The 15870-nt window shown below is 43.0% G+C and overlaps 1 protein-coding gene across 2 annotated transcripts in view, besides 6 other annotated features; it reads left to right on the forward strand.

Moving 5' to 3' along the window:
• Positions 1 to 15870, forward strand: part of HEXB (hexosaminidase subunit beta) — an 81266-nt gene that overhangs the window by 43168 nt on the left and 22228 nt on the right. The window contains exons 1-5 of one of the 2 annotated variants that reach the window (NM_000521.4): positions 2043 to 2369; positions 6138 to 6283; positions 10449 to 10514; positions 13503 to 13549; positions 13806 to 13916. In NM_000521.4, coding sequence (NP_000512.2) covers positions 2071 to 2369; positions 6138 to 6283; positions 10449 to 10514; positions 13503 to 13549; positions 13806 to 13916 — 669 coding nt within the window. In that variant the 5' untranslated portion in view covers positions 2043 to 2070. Of the gene's footprint in view, positions 1 to 2042; positions 2370 to 6137; positions 6284 to 10448; positions 10515 to 13502; positions 13550 to 13805; positions 13917 to 15870 lie in introns of those variants that run through there. The other variant, NM_001292004.2, reaches the window with a different exon arrangement.
• Positions 1731 to 2070: a silencer, noted in NCBI's record as "silent region_16095". NCBI's record gives its function as "represses an Ori minimal core promoter by ATAC-STARR-seq in GM12878 lymphoblastoid cells {active_cell/tissue: GM12878}" and the evidence as "EXISTENCE:reporter gene assay evidence [ECO:0000049][PMID:35858748]".
• Positions 1731 to 2255: a biological region, named in NCBI's record as "H3K27ac hESC enhancer GRCh37_chr5:73980770-73981270".
• Positions 1755 to 2255: an enhancer, noted in NCBI's record as "H3K27ac hESC enhancer chr5:73980770-73981270 (GRCh37/hg19 assembly coordinates)". NCBI's record gives its function as "activates a minimal SCP1, AML or CMV promoter by ChIP-STARR-seq in primed H9 embryonic stem cells {active_cell/tissue: H9 hESC(primed)}" and the evidence as "EXISTENCE:reporter gene assay evidence [ECO:0000049][PMID:30033119]".
• Positions 2761 to 2810: an enhancer, noted in NCBI's record as "active region_22672". NCBI's record gives its function as "activates an Ori minimal core promoter by ATAC-STARR-seq in GM12878 lymphoblastoid cells {active_cell/tissue: GM12878}" and the evidence as "EXISTENCE:reporter gene assay evidence [ECO:0000049][PMID:35858748]".
• Positions 2871 to 2920: an enhancer, noted in NCBI's record as "active region_22673". NCBI's record gives its function as "activates an Ori minimal core promoter by ATAC-STARR-seq in GM12878 lymphoblastoid cells {active_cell/tissue: GM12878}" and the evidence as "EXISTENCE:reporter gene assay evidence [ECO:0000049][PMID:35858748]".
• Positions 2931 to 3020: an enhancer, noted in NCBI's record as "active region_22674". NCBI's record gives its function as "activates an Ori minimal core promoter by ATAC-STARR-seq in GM12878 lymphoblastoid cells {active_cell/tissue: GM12878}" and the evidence as "EXISTENCE:reporter gene assay evidence [ECO:0000049][PMID:35858748]".

Consider the following 15870-nt stretch of genomic DNA (forward strand, 5'->3'; position numbering starts at 1 on the left):
TAGGTCAGAGAACCTCTTTATGGCTGGCTCCTACAGAAAGACACGGCAAGATTAGAGTAATATTTCTAGATTTTATGACTGGCTTTGGGGGCATAGGGGCTCTAGTTTCTTCTTTTTTTTTTTTTCTTTCTGAGACAGAGTCTTACTCTGTGGCACAGGCTGGAGTGCAGTGGTGCAATCTCGGCTCACTGCAACCTCTGCCTCCCAGGTTCAAGTGATTCTTGTGCCTCAGCCACCCAAGTAGCTGGGATTACGGGCGTGTGCCAGCACATCCAGCTAATTTTTGTATTTTTAGTAGAGATGAGGTTTCACCATGTTGGCCAGGCTGGTCTCGAACTCCTGGCCTTAAGTGATCCACCTGCCTTGGCCTCCCAAAGTGCTGGGATTACAGGCGTGAGCCACCATGCCCAACAGTGGCTCTAGTTTCTGTGACCCATTTTGAAAAAGAGGAATTCTAGTTTCTATGGCTTGCTCTGGGGAAGAAAGGGGAGCAGGAGAAAGAAAGGCAGGAGAAGGTCAGAAAGATCTTCTGACTCTCTTTTCTTCAGTTCCAAGTATTCAACATGCCAAAGTGCCACACTTTGGGGTCTCATTTTCTGAGGCCCAATAATCATTACATTTCTTTTCTTTCTTTTTTTTTTTTTTTTAAGATGGAGTCTTGTTCTTGTTGCCCAGGCTGGAGTGCAGAGGTGTGATCTCAGCTCACTAAAACTTCCACCTTCCGGTTTCAAGCGATTCTCCTGCCTCAGGCTCCTGAGTAGCTGGGATTACAGGCGCCCGCCACCACGCCCAACTAATTTTTGTATTTTTAATAGAGACGGGGTTTCACTTTGGTGGCCAGGCTGGTCTCGAACTCCTGAACTTGTGATCCGCCCTCCTTCGCCTTCCAAAGTGCTGGGATTTCAGGCGTGAGCCGCCGCACCTGGCCTAATCATTACATTTCTTTGAAGTCTTTCCTTAAAGCTCTTCCACCCTCATTTTCAGAATACTTATATAGCAGATCTGTGGTTTTGGTCTGCCTAGCGTTTTCTCCTTCTGGTAAGAGAACACCTCTTCTCCCTTTGGCATCTCCAGTCCGTGTTCGTCATGTGACTTCACTGGCTCTTCCTTAGGGATGGGTTATGAAATCAAACTTGTCAGTTGGGATCCTTTATATCGGGACCCACACAGATGAGCCAAGATGTTCTCTCTCAGGATTCCTTGGGCATGCTCTGCCCCAGGGAGTTCTGATAGGAAGGCTTTATTGACCACAGCTGAAGTGCTGTTACAGAAAAGCCTAGACTTAGGAGCAAATAAACTCAGCTCTCATCTCGGTTATCTGGTGGTTGGGCTGAGAGGAGAAAGGTGCTCCTCAAGCTTGGCTTCTCCAGCTTCACCGAAGCCAGGGATCCACAGGAGAGCGCCCGTGTTGACAGCGTGAGCGGCGACCCGGTGTCGGCCTGGCGTCCCGAGCCTGTGCACTGGGCCGTTTTCTTTTTCTTTTCTTTTTTTTTTTTTTTTTTTTTGAGACGGAGTCTTGCTCTGTTACCCAGGCTGGAGTGCAGTGGTGCGATCTCGGCTCACTGCAACCTCCGCCTCCCGGGTTCAAGAGATTCTCCTGCCTCAGCCTCCCGAGTAGCTGGGACTACAGGCACCCGCCATCATGCTCGGCTAATTTTTGTATTTTTGTAGAGTCGGGGTTTCACCAATTTGGCCAGGCTGGTCTTGAACTCCTGACCTCAGGTGATCCGCCCGCCTCGGCCTCCCAAAGTGCTGGGGCTACAGGCGTGAGCCACCACGTACGGCCAGCACCGGGCATTTTTCTTACTTTAGCCATCCCGTGTTTGAGGTTGCTGTCTGGGCTCTGCTCCTACCCGAGGGCACCCCTGGAGGAAATTCTCGAGGTGACCTGGACAGGGCGGGCTGGGCGAGGACGCTCCCGGGGCCTGGAGGCGGAGTCGGGGGCGGGCGCGCGCAGTCATCTGACTCGGTGACTCACCCGCGGCCGCGCTTCCTCTGATCCGGGCCGGGCGGGAAGTCGGGTCCCGAGGCTCCGGCTCGGCAGACCGGGCGGAAAGCAGCCGAGCGGCCATGGAGCTGTGCGGGCTGGGGCTGCCCCGGCCGCCCATGCTGCTGGCGCTGCTGTTGGCGACACTGCTGGCGGCGATGTTGGCGCTGCTGACTCAGGTGGCGCTGGTGGTGCAGGTGGCGGAGGCGGCTCGGGCCCCGAGCGTCTCGGCCAAGCCGGGGCCGGCGCTGTGGCCCCTGCCGCTCTTGGTGAAGATGACCCCGAACCTGCTGCATCTCGCCCCGGAGAACTTCTACATCAGCCACAGCCCCAATTCCACGGCGGGCCCCTCCTGCACCCTGCTGGAGGAAGCGTTTCGACGGTGAGCGCTCCCGGCCCGGCCGGGAGTTGTCCTGGGGGAGGGGAGAGGCGGACCACCCCGGAGCGCTGTGCAGACCCTCACCACCCCACTGCGCAGACGAGAAACCGCCTGGGAGCTGGCAGGCGATCTGCCCAGCGCCACATGGACTGAACCCACGCTCTTGCCCCCACCCTCCTACTGCTTCTTAAGGGACACCTTGGGTGCTCAGGAACCCTGGTTTGAGAGCCGGATAGTAAGTGGAAGAGGGAGTTTGCTCTGAGGCCTTGTTGGGCAAATGGCATGGACGGAGGGGACACCGGAGCTGGGGAGGAAAGTGACAGCTCCTTATTTGAAGGACGTGCAAAGGGATAAGTTACCCGAAGGGCTTAGACAAGCTCTCTTGAGGGACCAGGAATCCCCCAAAGCTGACTGTCATTTATAGGCCAGTTTCGCCCCCTCACCTCTCCTCACATCTCCTGGTAACAGCTCAAATGGCAGAAGTCCTCAGTTTCGAGCACTGCCTAAAACTGCCCTCTCTCCTAAAATCTCTTCCATATAAAATGTGACATGTTTGCATCTGACTACGTTTCTGCGGTCAGTGGTTAGGCAGTATCCAACTTTGTTTCTCAACACCGATCATGTTGCCTGCTCTCCCTGCTTCCTCTTTTACAGACCCCTAGATAGCGCCTCTGTCTCTCTCACCCTTTGGCTGCAGACAGGGTGAGTTTTGTCATGGGAGTCAGCCAATCACACCATAGACAAGGCAGGTTCCCCTGGGGAGATGTTTGAAGACGCCACACACTGTCCCCTCAGTGTGAGACCTGTGTAGGTGGGACTGTCCTGAAGGCGTATCGTGCCCTGCAGAATTGTAATTTGGTGCTAACTGTACTGCCTCCTGGCATTCCCCAAGCCTGTCGCTGTACCCAGTGGATACTATAGAGCTTAAGTGTGCTTGCAGGACCCTGAACAGGTGGGGAGGGAATGTCAAACTAACTGAATAATGTGTTCTGACCCCAGATAGGACAGGTGCCTAGGCTCAAGCTGCAGAGGCCCAAGATGCTGATGGCAGAAATGGTTCATTCTCTACAATCAGAAGGCTCATGGTTTCCTTCTGTTTTGTACAACTAAATGGGTATTATCAGTCTCTATTTTAGACACACACACTAATGAGCCTTTGGTATCCAATCTGCTAAGGCCAGAGTGGGGTTAAGATGTAGAACCAAAGTGTTTGGTTGCATTGGGATATTCAGAAAGATTGCATGGAAAGTACATGAAGGTTGTCTCAGAAGATCATGACTAGGGTTGGAAATCTTTTTAAAAACAAACACGCTTATTATGTTTGCCTTGGAGTTCAGCTTGTAGAATTGGATTTTCCTTCTGTGTCATACTGCTAAGTAAAACAAGGACTTGGTAATATGCTGAACTGACTGTGACAAGAAAGCATGGGTGATGTAAGTTAACAATAGGTAGATAACCAGGACTTAAATCAGCTGAGATGGTTCGAAGGCAAGGCTTGGTATTTCAAGGCATGTGCGGGTGATTACCTGAAGAGTTTGCCTAACTCATGGCCTCTGAGTGAAGCAGCCATTAATTATGCCTGGTATTATTAGGAAGCAGGTCATAAAATGTGTTGGCCCTTATGGCTAAGACTTGAAGGCATGCATGTGAGCATTCTAGGAACTCAGAAGGAGCAGCAGGTATCTCAGAGTAAAAGCACAGTGGAGTTGGAAAGATTTGGAAATATGGGAGTGTTCACAAAGTGCGACGTGGTCAGGAACACACAGTCTAGGCCCCAGATTGTTCAGCATCACATAGCCCCTGTCTCTGAAGAGCCCAGGTTGTATCACAAACCTTGCTTTGAAACAGTATGCTTTTTGCAGGCAGAGAGTTTGGCTGTTAGATGCATAGCTGCTTCTTTAGCTTCTAGAACAGCGTTCATCACATGCTAGTCACTCATTTTTAAAAATAAACAAATAGCTTCACTCCTTCATTTCCTGGAAGGCTAAACTAACCCACATACCTTTGACATACTGCCTCACAGCCCTTTGAGTTTTCTGTTAGAATTTTACTACCTAGGGTCAAGGTTCTAAGCCAGCTTCCAACTCTGATCTCAAAGCTGCCAGCAGCTTTAATTTCTTTTTTAAAAAAATTTTAATTAAGGAAAAAATACACATAACATAAAATTTACCATCTTAACCTTTTGTAAGTATGTATTTCGGTGGTCTTAATTTCCTTTTTAATCTGTCAGGGTTTTCCTATGAGAAGGGCCCTCAACACCTACATCCATTCCATTCTCTCATTGGTTAACTTCCATACACTTCCAAACATGTCAGAATTTTCCGACCTCTTCTGCAAAAAAGCATAAGACGTTCTTACACATAAGTAGCATATATAACCTTCTGGCTTACCAAAATCTGTAAAATATTATTTAAACAGTTGCCCTGAAGCCTATCTGATCTTTTTTATTTAGTGCCTTTACATTTTTATTTAATATTCTGATTTTTGGATACCAAAAACAATTGCTCTGAAGCCTGTCTGATCTTTTTTATTTAATGCCTTTACATAATTTTTATTTAATGCCTTTACAGAATTTTTATGTATTTAACATTTAATGCCTTTACAATATTTAATGCCTTTACAGAATTTTTATTTAATATTCTCTGATTTTTGGATACCAACAAAAGGTACTTTTTTTGTATTTAATATTAATATTAATATTTAATGCCTTTACAATATTTAATGCCTTTACAGAATTTTTATTTAATATTCTCTGATTTTTGGATACCAACAAAAGGTACTTTTTTTTTTTTTGAGATGGAGTCTCGTTCTGTCACCCAGGCTGGAGTGCAGTGGTGCGATCTTGGCTCACTGCTGCAACCTCCACCTCCCGGGTCCAAGCAGTTCTCCTGCCTCAGCCTCCTGAGTAGCTGGGATTACAGGCGCCTGCCACCATACCCAGCTGATTGTTTGTATTTTTAGTAGAGACTGTGTATTTTTAGTTTCACTATGTGGGCCGGGCTGGTCTTGAACTCCTGACCTCGTGATCCTCCCGCCTTGGCCTCCCAAAGTGCTGGGATTACAGGCATGAGCCACTGCAGCTGGCCAACAAAAAGTAAATTTTAAAGGCTCTGGTGAGAATTCTGGACCTTCTTTTGGGGCTTTATATGTAAGCTAGGATACTTTTGCAGGAAGGTAACAGGAACTCTGACTCAATCTGGCTCAAACAATAGGAAAACTTATTTCACACATTAGGATGTCCAAAAGTAGGGATGAATTTAGGGCAAGTTGACCAAGTGGCTCAACAGTGTTACCAGGGATCCATATTCTTTCCATCTCTGCTCTGTCCACTTTAGTGTAGTGGCAACTAGTCCAGCTCTCACATACAGAGAAACGAAGTTTTCTTGTGATTTGCTCAGAACTCCCCCTAACCCCCACATCCTATCACTGGTCAGAATTGGTTTTTCATTCCCAAGAGTGATGGATTACCATGATGGTTTCATTATTGGTTCTTAACGGGGCTTCATATGTCACTTCAGAGTGTGGGGAAGCATTTAAAATTCCCATGCCTGAATCCCATTCTAATAGATTCTGATTCTGAAGGCATGGACGTTGGGATTTTCAAAAAACTTCCCAAGTGATTCTAATGTACAGCTTGGGGTGAGAATCTCTAGTTGGACTTACAATGGGCAGCATGGATTTGAGGAGTTAACTACAATGTTACTAGCACATCTGTTTTAAAAATTTGGCTAAAATCCTTCTAAAATGTGTTTACATTTATTTCTCAAACAGATATCATGGCTATATTTTTGGTTTCTACAAGTGGCATCATGAACCTGCTGAATTCCAGGCTAAAACCCAGGTTCAGCAACTTCTTGTCTCAATCACCCTTCAGTCAGAGTGTGATGCTTTCCCCAACATATCTTCAGATGAGTCTTGTAAGTACCTATGCAATGTGAGTGTATTATATCCCAGGTGCTCGCTGACGGACTTAAGTGCCAAAAACTGACTCCATGCTAGGAACCACTGAGTTCTCAACCAGTGAGTTTATGATTCCTATTTTAAAAATAACCTTTAAAGTCTGATTATAAAAGTAGTACATAGTCTTTGTGGAAAATTTATTAAGTACAGTAAGTGCAGAAGAAGAAATAAATCACTCATAATCCCAGCAGATAGAATTAATCACTGTCATTTTAGGTGTATTTTTTTGCAGAGTAAAACATGTAAACATTTTACATAGACATAAATACAAACATGATAAGCATTGACATGAAAATGGCAGTAATTCTGTACATGTGCTTCTTGTATTTTTGTTGTATTTTTATATCATGCTTTTTTGCAAAATACATTATAAATTAAACATGAATTTCACTAGTTTTCTGTGATATCATTTTCAATGGCTGAATAATGTTCTGTCACTATATGGATGAGCTGACTTGGGTAATCTCTTTTGGACATCTAGGTAATTTCTTAACTTTTTGTCTTTGAAAACATCTGTATCCATGATCTCTATTTATAATCTAATTTTACAGAAAGATAATGCAGAGCTAGGGGAGAGGGTGGGTACAGCAGTTTCATTTGTAATCTGCTGTACAATATAATCAACATTTAGCTGTATGATTTTGTCCTCGTTGTTGCCTAAAACGTTATTCTCTAGGGCTTTTCCCAAATTGTTTTAGAACAAATAAGTGGGCGTGCCATTTCTATAGGGTATACTGCCTGAGAATAATGTGGAATTGCACCAAGGAATCAAAGAAGGGCAGTATAAGGACATGTGTAATATAAGATTCGTGCAAGAAAGAGCAGACAGGGGAACTAAGTGTAAAGATAGAGGCTGGACGCTGTGGCTCATACCTGTAATCCCAGCACTTTGGGAGGCTGAGGTGGGTGGATCACTTAAGGCCAGGAGTTCAAGACCAGCCTGGCCAATATGCTGAAACTGCATCCCTACTAAAAAATACAAAAAGTTAGCCAAGCGTGTTGGTGCGTACCTGTAATCCCAGCTACTCGGGAGGCTGAGGCAGGAGAATCACTTGAACCCAGGAGGCAGAGGTTGCAGTGAGCTGCAATCATGCCGCTGCACTCCAGCCTGGGGGACAGAGTGAGACAGTCTCAAAAAAAAAAAAAAAAAAAAAAAAAAAAAAAAAAAAAAAAAAAAAAAAAAGATAGGATGCCACAAATTTAGAGAAAAGAGCAACTCCATTACCCCCAGACTGCCTCACAGTTAAGTACATGTCTTCATCCTGCTGGTTTAGATGAGATTTCTCAATAATACATCTCTTTGAAAAAAAGCTTTCTTTCTCTTCAATTCCATAGCTGTTCTTAGAAGAGAAATAGGAAAATTCACCAACATCAGGTATCATTTCAATTGATACTCAGCACTCAGACACCATGTGAAGTAGGTTTTGCAACCTGAATTGAGATGGAAATGGTCATTACGTTGCCAAGGAATCTTTGCTGTCCATTGGCAATACAGATAACAGATTGTAAATTCCACAAAATGAAATGTATCGAGACTAGAGAGTCATAGCTTATCTTTCAGTCAGTTCTACAAACCCTCTTTATTCTGAAAGGGAAGTTTCTTGAGACAAGGTTATTGTGAAATTTTCAGCTGAAGAATAAACTAGTTTTTAGTCTTTAAACTAGTTGATGATGATGATAAAAGTAACACATATGAATGGAAATAACAAGATATCAAATGTCCAGAGTGGGAGGACATGTTGGAGGAGGTGACACATGTTAAAGCACCACTATTTATTAAAAATAAAAATATGCATGCCCTGAGAAGTGGACTAGTTTTTACTGCAGATAAATGGACACATAAATCAAGGATGTTTGATGCAGTTTGCCTGTAATGTGAAGAACTGTCAATAAAACTCAATGTCCATCAATAGAGGAATGGCTAAATACATCTTGTCAATCTATACTAAACAGTATAATCACAACAGTTAAGAATAAAGAAGCAGTATTACTGAGAACACACATGGAGAACTGACAAGATAAACTGCTGAGTTGAACAAAGGAAGCTGTATAATTATGTGTAGAGGTGGACCCTGTTTATATATCAACACACGTGCAGGAACACACGCATAAAGCAATACTATATTTTCTCCTTCCGTGTACATCTATGTCAAGCCTAAGAAAATGCCCGATAAGTATTTCCTCTGAGGAAGGTAGAGGGAGTTAGGTGAGTATCTCAAAGGAGATTTTAGCCTTATCTATATTATATTGCTTTTAAACAGAATATATAGATATGTCATTTGTATATTCACCCTCCAAAACAAATGTATTTATGGTGCAAAAAGATACAGAATGGGCTAACTGAAAAGTCAATGATATAATTCCTTTCACACTTCAGGGAAGTGATCATTGTTAACACTAATAACTTGGTTGTGAAGTAAAAATGGAAATTCTATAGCTATGTGTCCATATATTTAGAAAACCAAATTTCTAATTGTTATATGTATTTTCCACTGAGTTGAATTACAGTCCTGTTTAATATCAGCCAGTTGTCAACTATTAGAAAATAATTGGTATCAAATATATGCAATATATTAATGTTTTTTAGGTGACTGTGCTATTTCTGGAAGATCTCAAAACTAGAATGTGGCAAAAAAATGTTTTTAAACAGTGACCAATGGAGCAGTGAGCTCTAGGTAGCTGATTAAGAATTTGATACAGGCTGGGTACAGTAGCTGACACCTGTAATCCCAACACTTTGGGAGGCTGAGGCCGGTAGATGGCTTGAGCCCAGGAGTTCAAGACCAGCCTGGGCAACATGGCAAAACCCTGTCTCTACAAAAAAAAAAAAAAAAAAGAAAGAGAAAAATTAGCCAGGCGTGGTGGCACATGCCTACAGTCCCAGCTACTTGGGAGGTCGAGGCTGCAATGAACCGTGATTGTGCCACTCCACTCCAGCCTGGGCAGCACAGTGAGACTCTGTCTCAACAACAACACAAGAATTTGCTATAGATGTAGAGGAAACATAATTAGACTATGCTCATAAATAGCAATATAGTTCTTAGCCTGGCATTGGCTAACTCATCTAATGGAGTGTGGTTATCTAATGGAAAAGGCTATCTTGTCAGAAGACTATCACCTGAGATGCTCACACTACTGATAGAGCACTTTTGCCTACCTGCAGCTAACTATTCTGTGAGCATCTGAATGGTGGTGGTGGTAGAAGGTGATAAACCACCCCAGAGGACACAGTATTAAATCATTAATCTCCAGCCCATCAGTGTCTTTGCCGTGGCAAAGTCCAAAGCTGTTACACCCTTTAGCTTTCAATCTCTTTACCATCTGTGGGTTTACTATGTGGTTGATTCCACTCCAGACCTCTCTAAAAGACTAAATGACTATTGGGCCAACCTTAGAGTGTGCTTCAAAGATTGAAAGATTAGCCTCTCACCAGAAGCAGCTAACTGGAGTCCCATTCTGGATGATGTGAACTTTTAATTGAGTGGGACAAAGCTGAATTATTTTTATTGAGTGAGACAAAGCTGAACTAAGCTAAAGGGATTTGGAGAGTAAGTCTTAAGGCAGATTTGGATGATACTGAGGGAAGGTGGGTACAGGGCAAGTAGAAAATTCTGAATGCAAAAGAGTGGAGATACTCTCTGGCCTTAAAGGGAGTAGATTTGAGCGACACCTAGGGCGTTACCAAGGATTAGTAGGAACTGAGGAATGTTTGCACTTTCAACTAAACTCTTAGCTTAACTAGGACCCTACTCTGTTGAGGAGAAGTTGGAGAGACTAACTCTTTTAGGAAAATGAGGAAACATGGAGTTGACACCCAAATTCCCGTTCTGAGTGACTCAAGTGACTGGATGGTGGTGCTGTGACTCACTGAAATGAGGAACACAGAAGACCAGCAGGTTGAAGTGTGCGGAGGAGGGAGGGAAGAGTTCTGTTGGGGCATGTGGAGTCGAAGGAACCTGCAGGACATCCAAATGGAGATGTACAGGAGGCAGTTAGAGAAATAGGTCATGTGCTTGGGAGAAAATAATAGTCCAGAAATATCAATGACATGTTTAGGAAACTTATTGTGTGTCATTGAGGGATTAACAAAAGTGTGTGTGTGATTTTAAATCCTCAATACAGATACTTTACTTGTGAAAGAACCAGTGGCTGTCCTTAAGGCCAACAGAGTTTGGGGAGCATTACGAGGTAAGTTCCATGCAGTTTCATTGTTACTTTCCAGTAAAGGAAAATTTTCAGTTGGTGCTTTGTGAAATTAAGCACAGCAAAACTTTGCCGCCTTAGATCCTTTACAGAATGCTTTGTTATGTAGTTCCAAAATGATTTCCATTGAACATGTACTACATAAAGCATGGGAGAGGTCAGCACAGTGGCTCACGCCTGTAATCCCAGCACTTCGAGAGGCTGAGGTAGGTGATGATTGCCTGAGCTCAGAAGTCTGAGACCAGCCTGGGCAACATGGTGCAACTCCATCTCTACAAAAAGTACACAAATTAGCCAGGCATAGTGGTGTGGACCTATAGTCCCAGCTACTCTGGAGGCTGAGGTGGGAGGATTGCTTGAGTCCAGGACGTTGAGGCTGCAGCGAGCCTAGATCACACCACTGCATTCCAGGCTGGGCAACAGAGCAAGACCCCTGTCTCAAAAAAATACAAATAAATAAATACAGCATGGGAGAAAACTCATTTGACCTCTCAAAAAATGTTTGAAGGTTATTACATTCCTGCAGTGCTGTAATTCATTGATGCTCTTGGGACTGTAATGTTTATAGCACTACACATGGCCCCAACCTGTCCTGATTAGGGAATTTTGTTTCAGCTATCACTTCTGTTGACTTCAGAAGCAAGCATCTCTCTTCCCTAATTTTAAATTCCTGTAGATTTAGAAACATAACTAAGTTTGTATAAGGAACAGTGTCAAAAGGCAAATATGCTATAGAGTTGGTTAGAGGCAGTGGGCAGGGAGTAACTTGAAAAGCTTCTCATGAGAATTTCAGAGTCTGAACTTCAAAGTTTGACCTCAGGACATTTGCTGTTCAAAAGTTTCTTTTACCTTTCTTTCTAGGCAGATAAGATACTGTACTGACTTCCGAATAGCAGAGTTTTTAGAAAGGGAATTTAAAAAAACATGAACTAACCAAACTTAGTCATTAAAATAAAGGCTTGGGATTGATCATAGTCACTCACACCTGTAATCCCACCACTTTGGGAGGTTGAGGCAGGCAGATCACTTGAGGTCAGGAGTTCGAGACCAGACTGGCCAACATGGTGAAATCCCATCTCTACTAAAAATACAAAAAAAAAATGAGCCAGGCATGGTGGCGCATGCCTGTAATCCCAACTACTTGGGAGGGTGAGGCAGGAGAATTGCTTGAACCTGGGAGAGGGAGGTTGCAGTGAGCTGAGCTGGCACCACTGCATTCCAGCCTTGGTGACAGAGCAAAACTCCATCTCAAAAAACAAAATAAATAAAGATTTGGAATCTGACTCAGAGTGTTACCTAAAATAATCATTGTTATGCTATATATTTTATACCATAAGATTATAATTTTATTCAAAATAGAATATGAAAATATCTAGATATTTACTACAAATGTAATTTTATTTATGTATAATATTAGTGATTTTAAGCTTTTATTAGTCCAATCTGCCTGTCTCATCTGCGTCTGCTAAGGAGAAGAGACGCTTTTTTTTTTTTTTTTTTTTGAGACAGAATCTTGCTCTGTTGCCCAGGCTGGAGTGCAGTGGTGAAATCTCAGCTCACTGCAAGCTCCGCCTCATGGGTTCATGCCATTCTCCTGCCTCAGCCTCCCGAGTAGCTGGTACTACAGGCGCCTGCCACCACGCCTGGCTAATTTTTTGTATTTTTAGTAGAGACAGGGTTTCACTGTGTTAGCCAGGATGGTCTCGATCTCCTGACCTCGTGATCCACCTGCCTTGGCCTCCCAAAGTGCTGGGATTACAGGCGTGAGCCACTGCGCCCAGCCAAGAGACGCTTATTGATGTTTGTTCTGATCCATACCAAAATAAAGAACTCTAGCAAGGCTGGGCACGGTGGCTCACGCCTGTAATCCCAGCACTTTGGGAGGCCGAGGTGGGTGGATCACTTGAGGTCAGGAGTTGGAGACCAGCCTGGTCAACACAGTGAAATCCCATCTCTACTAAAAATACAAAAATTAGCCGGGCATGGTGGTGCACGCTTGTAGTCCCAGCTACTTGGGAGGCTGAGGCAGGAGAAGTACTTGAACCCGGGAGGTGGAGGTTACAATGAGCCGAGATCGCGCCACTGCACTCCGTCCTGGGTGACAGAGCAAGACTCCGTCTAAAAAAAAAAAAAAAAAGATAAAACCACTCTTGCGAGTATGCAGTGACTAGATTTCTAGTCCAAGAAGTCCATATTTTCTGTTTACCATCAGACTTTCAGAGTAATGTACTCTAAACTGATCATTATTGAACGTAATGTCACTTAACAGAAACTTTCAGAGTTATTCTTCCCAGCATGAACCTGTACTTGACGAGGTTGGAGAGACAGGAAGGCGTAGCAAAGATGACTGAACTGTTCTTAGGTTAAAAATTCCCTGGCTATATAGCTGTCAGCTAGAATGAGGAATCTGAATAAAGTCAAGGCCAGTTAGAAGAATTAGCCTGTCAACTAGTATATTAAGGGAATAATCCACTTGAGTAAAAAATGTTCAGAAGGTAGTCTTTGCAGCTATAAGTAAAATGCTGTATATTGTAAATTGGCCTTTATTTATAGTTTCATGGTTTTTCCAGCCATTTTTCCCTGTTGCATTTAGATACCTTCTAAAAGTGACTATATTTGATTATAAAAATTCTTTCTCATGATGCCATAAATTTATTAAGGAACCAGTATTTTATTAAATTACTATTCTTCTTTTGTCTATATTGAAACAACCCCCAGGGTATGGGTACAATGAAGTAAAGCACTTTTATTAGATGAGTAGAGAAGTGCAATGGATTTTTTTTTAATTTGGCTTTGATTTTAGAAATTATGGTAGAGGGTGTAGGTATAACAATATATTTTAGAGGATAGAGGTATAACACTATATTCAATTATATTTGCCTTACCTGGTTATGAGTCTGTTTGAATAATATAACTTTTATCATCTCAATTTGTTGATTTATAAATTAATGCAATAAATTTTACTTTCCTCAGGTTTAGAGACCTTTAGCCAGTTAGTTTATCAAGATTCTTATGGAACTGTAAGTATGATTATTATATGTTACTAAAAATTGTTAGACAAATTGCTAATAGAAAAAAATGTAACCTGTTTAGCTATTGCTTCCTGAAGATTTCATTTCCCCAGATATTTGTCTTAGCCGGTAAATGTAAATTTCATACATTTTTGTTGTTCTAAATTAATATTTTATGAAATGCTTGTATAAATAGATTTAGTCTTCATTGAGTTCAAGACAACAGAAAATTCTAAAACTAAATCAAAATTTTATTTTGTCATAGTTCACCATCAATGAATCCACCATTATTGATTCTCCAAGGTTTTCTCACAGAGGAATTTTGATTGATACATCCAGACATTATCTGCCAGTTAAGATTATTCTTAAAACTCTGGTAAGTAATTACTTCATTCTAATCTGTTGTCTATTCTGAAGATGTCTCCTTTATGTTGTAACTTTATGTTGGTTACTATTGTGTAGTTTGGAACAGGGGAATTTGTATAAGCACTGGGCATTCTTTCCTCAGTTCCTAGGGAAGTGTATTTCCTCAGCTGTGACGTGGAGGTCCCCTTGAGAATCACCCTCCTGTTTTCAGTGCGAGAGCCACGTATAACATGTATTTAGCCAAGACTGTTAAGAGAAGGACAGTTTAAACACTGCCCATTGGCCCTTTACATATACTCCCATTTGTCAAATCATGTGTCTAGACTTTTGATTAGGAATACATGGCCACCCAGGTGCGGTGGCTTACACTTGTAATCCCAACACTTTGGGAGGCTGAGGCAGGTGGATCACCTGAGGTCAGGAGTTCGAGACCAGCCTGGCCAACATGGCCAAACCCCATCTCTACTAAAAATACAAAAATTAGCCAGGCGTGGTAGCGTGCGCCTGTAATCCCAGCTACTAGGGAGGCTGAGACAGGAGAATTGCTTGAACCCTCCCCGGGTGGAGGTTGCAGTGAGCCGAGATCGCACCACCGCACTCCAGCCTGGGCGACAGAGCAAGACTCTGTCTCAAAAAAAAAAAAAAAAAAAGGAATACGTGGCCACCACACCATACTTCTAGTTAGTGCCATTTAAATTTTGTGACCACCTCTTACTTTTTTTGTAAGTGGCATTAGAAAGGAGTCCGGGAGCTCCTTTATACCTAGGGAACTATTCCAAAGGAATATGGAACCTCAGGGGTGGTATGGGTTAGGAAGAAGGTTGACAATAACTGTTTTCTCCTATGGGCTTTTTTTTATTGGTTAATCCCCACCATCACCTGCCAATTTGTAGGGGTGGGGAGGTTTCCTCCCATGTTTTTTTGCACCTTCACTTGATCATTATGATGAAACTATGCTATTTAAAAATTATTATTATTATTATTTATTTATTTATTTTGAAACGGAGTTTCGCTCTTGTTGCCCAGGCTGGAGTGCAATGGCGCGATCTCGGCTCACTGCAACCTCTGCCTGACAGGTTCAAGCAATTCTCCTGCCTCAGCCTCCTGAGTAGCTGGGACTACAGGCATGCACCACCACGCCCAGCTAATTTTGCATTTTTAGTAGAGACGGGGTTTCTCCATGTTGAGGCTGGTCTCGAACTCCTGACCTCAGGTGATCCACCTGCCTTGGCCTCCCAAAGTGCTGGGATTGCAGGTGTGAGCCACCGTGCCCAGCCAAAAATTATTATTATTATTATTATTTTTTTTTCTTTTTAGTTGAAGTCTTGCTCTGTCGCCAGGCTGGAGGGCAGTGGTGCAATCTTGGCTCACTGCAACCTCCGCCTCCCGGATTCAAGCAATTCTCCTGCCTCGGCCTCCCGAGTAGCTGGGATTACAGGTGCACACCACCACACCCAGCTAATTTTTGTATTTTTAGTAGAGACAGGGTTTCACCATGTTAGCCAGGATGTTCTCAATCTCCTGACCTTGTGATCCGCCTGCCTCAGCCTCCCAAAGTGCTGGGATTACAGGTGTGAGCCACCACGCCTGGCCTAAAAATTATTTTTACATTTACATTAATACTCTGAATTTTTTCTCCAAAAGACAGTCTTGTCACTTTTAAGAAACAGATGCTTAGTGTAAAAAGTTTAAACAATATAAATGTGCATAAAATAGGCAGTCATCCCATAATTTCATTTGCCAAAGATTGACATACATTTTTATGTGCTACTTGTCTCATTTTAGACTTAAAAAATGAATATACTAGGTGGGGTACAGTGGCTCACGCCTGTAATCCCAGCACTTTGGGAGGTGGAGGCAGGTGGATCATTCAAGGTCAGGAGTTCGAGACCAGCCTGACCACCATGGTGAAACCCATCTCTACTAAAAATACAAAAAATTAGCCAGGCGTGGTGGTGCACGCC

Source organism: Homo sapiens, chromosome 5 (genome assembly GCF_000001405.40).
Source record: "Homo sapiens chromosome 5, GRCh38.p14 Primary Assembly".
Classification (NCBI taxonomy): Eukaryota; Metazoa; Chordata; class Mammalia; order Primates; family Hominidae; genus Homo; species Homo sapiens.